The following is a 6,173-nucleotide window of genomic DNA, read 5'->3' as shown; positions in this document are numbered from 1 at the left end:
TTCACTACCATGAGAACAGTATGGGGGAAACCACCCCCATGATTCAATTATCTCCCACCAGGTCCCTCCCACAACACAGGGGAATTATGGGAGCTACAATTCAAAATGAGATTTGGGTGGGGACACAGCCAGACCATATCAACCTGGGATTGGATTTACTGGTCAGTTTTCTTTTGCATGTACTCAAGAACATGCAGCGTTTAGCTTCTATCATCCAAAATAGTGAATGTTGCTGATGGCGCCTCATCGACCACTAGGCAAGAAATGCACTGGTAATTCCCAGGCCATTTTTGGTCATGAACTACCCTGCATCTTTGTCTTTGGCCCAAGCAGGAGAAAAATGAATGCTCTGGTATTTTTCTTCCACTTTCATGTGCTGTTTGTTGTTATCAGGGAAAATGCAAACTGCTGGGTTAGCAGAAAGCCTGACCTGTTCTCCTGAAATCTGCTTCTCACACCGGCCTCAGCTGTTGTCTCTTCCGGCCTGAAGCTGGAGGTGGAGGCCCAGAGTCCTTCCCTCCTCACCTCACCTTCACAGTTCCTCACTGTAGCAGCTGATGGTGCTTAAGGACCATCAGAGGCATCAACAATCAACCAAACCTCCACCGTCTGCCTTCCTTAGCCCAGACTGTGGACACACAGTGTGTTCAGTTATTTTTATTTGCATGTATGTTTTTAAAACCCTATAGCAAATTGGAAGAAAAGCTATGCAAACCCCTCCTGGCCTTTCCTGTTGTGAAGGATTTTTTTCAGGGGCTTCGATCTGACCCTGGAGACCAGAGTGGTAGGTATAATTGGATGGACGTTTGGATTGGCCTCAGACAGTTCCTTCCCCACTCATCATTCTTTCGCTAATTCATTCAACAAACAGCCCAGGGTCAGGCCCCGCGCTAGGATTCAGGACAGAGATGTGAACAGAACCCAGTCCCTGACCCCAAAGCCTCACTGTCAAGTGGGCAAGAGCAGCTGAGACCAGGGTGTGCAGAGCCTGACACTGTGGGGTGGGGCAAGTCCGGGCTGACAGTGGGGTTGGAGGGAAGGAGGGAGCTCTGTCTCCTCACTCCAGGGCTGCTGGCCCTCCTTGGAGACAGCTGGTCAGGAGAACAGTCTTGCTGTCAGCAAACTTCTATTTCCCTTTGTGGATTTCACCTACGAAATTGTTCTGAGAACCTCCTCCTCACCCTGTTTGGGAGGGAGGGACTCCCACCCGAGGGTCACAGGGATGACCAAACACGCAACACCCTACTGTGGACAGATGAGACCGACAGGGCTTCTGAGTCATATGTACTCAGCCCAGGGCGGGGGCAGGCACTGCAGGCCAAGCAGGGCCATGGGGGCCCACACTGCGGCACAGATGGCACCGGCCAGGACTGTGGGAGGCAGCCTCTGTGGTGCTTGACAAGAGGGTGGGATGACCCTGGTCGCAGGGGAGGATGTGAGTGGCTTCTTTGAATTATACCATGGGCTGGCAGGGGTGTGACCTGGTGAGGCTGAAGACTGGACAGGGTGCAGTGTGTCGGGCTGGTAGGGGAACTAGTGGGTGGGAACCTTTCCGGCGGGGTGGGGGCGCATATCTGGTGAGAGCAGGAAACTCGTAGTGAGGCCTTTGGGGTCCTTGGAGGCTAAGAGTCAAGGCTGCTCATGAATTTGGGGGCCCTACAGTACAGCGAGCACTAACTGTGGGAGTGGGGGCTGTCCTGGGGTCTCTGATGTCCTCCTCACCCACCAGCCCCAGCTAGGAAGGGGTTAATGGATGAAGGCAGTGAGGTTGATGGACTCAGAGGGCCTGGAGCAGCCCAAAGCCTGGGAAGAGCATGTTCCTGACCCCGGAAAGTCCTTAGGCCTCCCCGGCCGTAGGCTCCAGACGCTACTTTGTTCCAATCTATTTTGGAATCCTCCCTGGTCCGGATATTTGGTCTCCAGCCCTGGCCTATTTTTAACTCACAGACTTTGCCCTTGGAAGGGGCCTTGGTGGCCATGAGCCTCTCTCCAGAATTCCACACCTCCTACCTGACCTCCTACCTGATGGAGTGTTGCGTTCCATCAACACTCGAGTCCCCTCCTCGGGCTGCGCCCCACCCTCCACCACCACCAGACCAGCACTGCCCTTTCTCGGCTCCCCCTCCATGCCCGCGCCTGGCTCGACAGCACATCAGCCTGTGGGCAGGGGCCCAGGTGAGTCACTACAGGGAACCTGCTGAGAGGGGTGCATGGTGTGTTGTGGGGTTGGAAACTTCCACTCAACCCTCTGCCAGGGTGCCCAGGCCCCCCAGAGCCCTTCCTGAGTTTGTCTGTCTGCTGCCTGGTGTGGCCACAGAGCTCTGGGCCACAAACAGGCTCCCGCTCTGCATGTGACCTTCAGGAGAAGGGCCGGAGGAAAGACGACCTCTGAGATCCTTTCTTGAGCAAACCTGCGTGTGTGCACGAGTGTGGGTGGCGTTTGCTCCAGGCCAGAGGTTATCAGTGTTTCCAAGGAGCTCCTCCTCTCTGAAGCTGGCTCTGAGTCCCGCAGCACTCTGATGATGCCAACATGGGTGGCAATTCCCGATACCCAGGAAATGTGTGTTAACACAGACCATGGGCCCCTCTCCAAGGAGGAGCAAACTGATGGTCACCATCATCCCTGCAGATTGCTGAAGGCATCTCCACCACAGGATCTAGAAGAACAGGATCTGTGTCGAAGACAAGAGGTCAAGGGTGCTTGTCCTTTTATAGGCATCTTTAAGCCCCTAGTATGTGCCATGCACAGTCTTAAATCCTGGAGAAACACAAGTTAACCAAAAAAACCAAAAACAAAATGGAGGCAAGGAGATAAAACTCTCTGTGCTCATGGAGCTGATGTTTTATCAGGGAGCCAGACAGGACAGGATAAATGACTAGAATGTATGTTATGTTCACAAGGTCCTAGGAAGGAAAGTAAAGTGAGTGGTGGCGGGGGCATGGCGTGCCGGGAAGGGGAGTTGCCTTCTGGAATGGGCCAAACCGAGAAGGCTTTTCTGGGAAGGGGCTTCTAAGCAAAGACCTGAAGGGGTGAGGGACTGAGCCTCGCTGCGGCCTGCAGGAAGCAGAGGCCAGGTGAGGAGAAGGGTGTGTACAAAGGCCCTGAGGCAGGCCAAGGACTGGCAGGGACGTCTACGTGGCCACACTGGGGCACACAGTTATGGGGGAGGATGAGACCCCTCTTCCCACAGGAAGGTTGACCGGGCCCGTAGGTCCCTGTGACCATCAGGGGCCCGGGCAGAGAAGCAGCACGGGTGGGTAGACTTAGAATCTGTGAGCCTCCTGCCAGCTGCAGTGGCCAGGCAGAAGCAGGGAGGCGGCAGCTGCTCCTGGCCTGGGCACCATCCAGTTTGCACCACGGCTGTCTCTGGCCTTCCCTGGCCAGCTGCCCACACACACTGTCACCTTGGGCTTCTGCCTTTTCTTTCCCTCCTGTGGCCATTTTGTGGCCATTTCTGGGGTCATACCTTCCTAGCAGGATACAACGATGCATGAACCAGCGCATCCCCAGAACTGATGTGTCCTTCTCCGAGGCTCTGCCCACATCGTGGCCCCCAGACGGTGCTGCAGTAACCCACACACTGGTTGCTCATCTGACCTTTGCATGTGGGTTTACGGGAAGGGGGGCTTCAACCGTCAAAGGATGTCCTTTCTGGAAGATTCTAGAAAGAGATAAGGAATGTTGCCCACAGTAGATAGAAGACTGAAGGGCTCCGCGGTCCCCAGGGCTGAAAGCAGAGCTTATTATTATTATTTTAATAATAAGAGGGCTGGACACTCACATAGAACTTGAGTCTCACTAAGTTTGGCTTTCAAACAGCCTCACCGATTTTATCATCCCCGTTTTCTGATGAGGATGCTGGCGTCTGAAAGTTTGAAAAAAGTAGCTCCATCACTGCACACAAGCACCTCACCTAGAAGCCAGATCCCTCCACCACAGCCTGAAGTTCGCTCGGCCTGGGCTGCTCCTCCCTCACTGCTCCGTCTCCTCCACCAAAGGTGTGACCAGTCCATCCGTCGGGGTGCGTTTTGCTTTGCACATTTCTTGGGGAAAAAAATTCTTATTTGGTTTTGAAAGTATCGTTATTATCGATTTTACAGTTTTCTCATACATTTTAAAACCATTTTTTCCCCCAAACTGTTTTGCAAACCCGTGGCAAGGCGGTAGGCCCCGTGCCTGTGTGCTTGCTGGGTCACTGGCCTGGCTGTGCCCACGGCCTCCTCCTCGCCCCCTCTTCCTGCCTCCTTTAGGCCAGCTGACTCGGGGGCTTGGCTCTCAGAAGCAGCACTTCCTGGCATCTGGTCCCTGCCCTCCGGAACATTCTGCCCATCCTGGGAACACGCCTTTGCACTTGCCGCAGTCTGGTTCTCCTCCTACACACCCTGCAAGGCCCTCCCCAGCCTCCGGTGGGGTTGAGGGCAGCCTGTGCTTTCTGCCCCGCTGACTCCCTGGACCTCAGCACCTGCCCCCGCACTGGGGTTGCAGAGAACGTGAATCTCACAAGGTGGACGGCTTCTTCCACAGGAGCCGGGGATCCTTCCTGCCACTCAGCCGTCTCTAAAATTGTTCCCTAACTATCCCTGTCCCCAGTTTCATTTTTCTTAAGCATTCAATTACATTAAGCTACTAGCACCACACTCATTTTAATTTTCCTGTTTTATACCCCATGAAAAATAGTGACGGGGTAATAGGATGGCCTCCTCCTTTGGCCTTCTTTTCCGCCTCATCCACCATTTCTCTGCATCTTCTTCCCCGAGTGTCTCAAGGACCTTGGACCTCAAGGATGAGGCTGGGACAGGCTGGCCAGAGGGGCCTCAAGCAGGCACCTGCTTTCCTTCCCAGCTCTGTTCCCAGGCTGGTGGGATGGACTGGGAATGCAAGGGTGGCCGAGCCTGTCTAGGTGGGTGAGCCTGCAGGTAGATGTGCACACAGCCCGGCAGATGCACACACAGCCCGGTCTTGAACTCTCTCCATCTGCAGCTACCTTGCAGCAGCTCCTGTGGCTTTGGCTGTTGGGTGCTGATGCCTCTTCTCAGGCCAGCCCAGACCCTGGCACTTCTTGAGTACAGGTGGCCCAACTATGCACACTCTCTGCCTATGGGAGCCAGCCTGGGCCCAGGTGACCAGTGCCCAAGACCTGCCCTGGGGAGGTGCTGTTAGAGGGGTTAGCTTGTTCCACAGGGAAATCACAGAGTGGCCTTCTGGTTGGATGGAGAAGCGATGTTTGCTTCATTTATTAAACCATTTCTCTAGGTTCAGGTTTTGCTCTAAACCCTTTAGCCATGTTATTTTATTGAATCCTCATAGAGGTGTGCAACGTCAGTGTCATTGTCTCCTAATTAAAGAAGAGAAAGTCGACAATGCTCTGAGGAGCCCAACAACCTCCCCAGGTGGGTGGCGCAGGCAGAACTCAAACACGGGTTTCGTGGCTGTGCCCTTCTTTTTCCCGTCAAACCGTGTGTCTCTGATTCCTGCCCCTAAGGTGCCCTCATTGATATTTCCAGACTGCTCTAAAATGGTTAGAATTTGGCCAGTCTTTTCATTGATTTCTCTTTGAGGTGTGACTCACTGATATCATTAGGGAGAAGGCAGTGGGTTTGAGCCCCAAGAGTGCACTCCCAAGTCAGACCGACCATTTGATTGGAATCCAATCCCACATCTTACTGCTTAGAGGGTCTCACCAAGCCTCAGTTAACCTCATCTGTAAAATGGGTTCAACTGCTCCAACAAAAAAGACCCGTGATGCAATGGCTTCAACAGGAGAGATGTTTGCTCCTAGCTCACATAACATCCACAGGTAGGTGGCCTCCTTTTGTGAGCTCAGTCAGGACTAGGGTTTCTCTCAACCTAGCTCCGAATAATACTCTTGGAAATCATCCTTTTCTGCATGGTTGAAAGTTGCTCACCAAACCCCATCACAATACGCATGATTGAAGAAAGAAGGAAACAAGCACAAAGCAGGATTTTCTTTGAAGGAAAGGACATACAATGTGTGGCAATATACCACTTTCTGGTCACTTTGCAAGGATGACAACTTAGTCCAGAGACCAAATCTAGCTGCAAAGGAGGCTGGGAACAGAATCTCCAACTGCGTAGTGAGAGGCCCTGTTAAAATTCAGAGAAAGCAGAATTGTATTGCTAAAAAGAAAAGGCATGAAATAGATGCCGAAGG

At 53.2% G+C, this 6,173-nt stretch overlaps 1 annotated feature.

Moving 5' to 3' along the window:
- Positions 4,620-5,465: an enhancer, noted in NCBI's record as "H3K4me1 hESC enhancer chr1:4519759-4520604 (GRCh37/hg19 assembly coordinates)". NCBI's record gives its function as "activates a minimal SCP1, AML or CMV promoter by ChIP-STARR-seq in naive H9 embryonic stem cells {active_cell/tissue: H9 hESC(naive)}" and the evidence as "EXISTENCE:reporter gene assay evidence [ECO:0000049][PMID:30033119]".

The sequence above is a fragment of the Homo sapiens genome, chromosome 1 (genome assembly GCF_000001405.40).
Source record: "Homo sapiens chromosome 1, GRCh38.p14 Primary Assembly".
Classification (NCBI taxonomy): domain Eukaryota; kingdom Metazoa; phylum Chordata; class Mammalia; order Primates; family Hominidae; genus Homo; species Homo sapiens.
The sequence above is the reverse complement of the archived record's forward strand: the minus strand, read 5'-3'. Positions and strand labels throughout refer to the sequence as shown.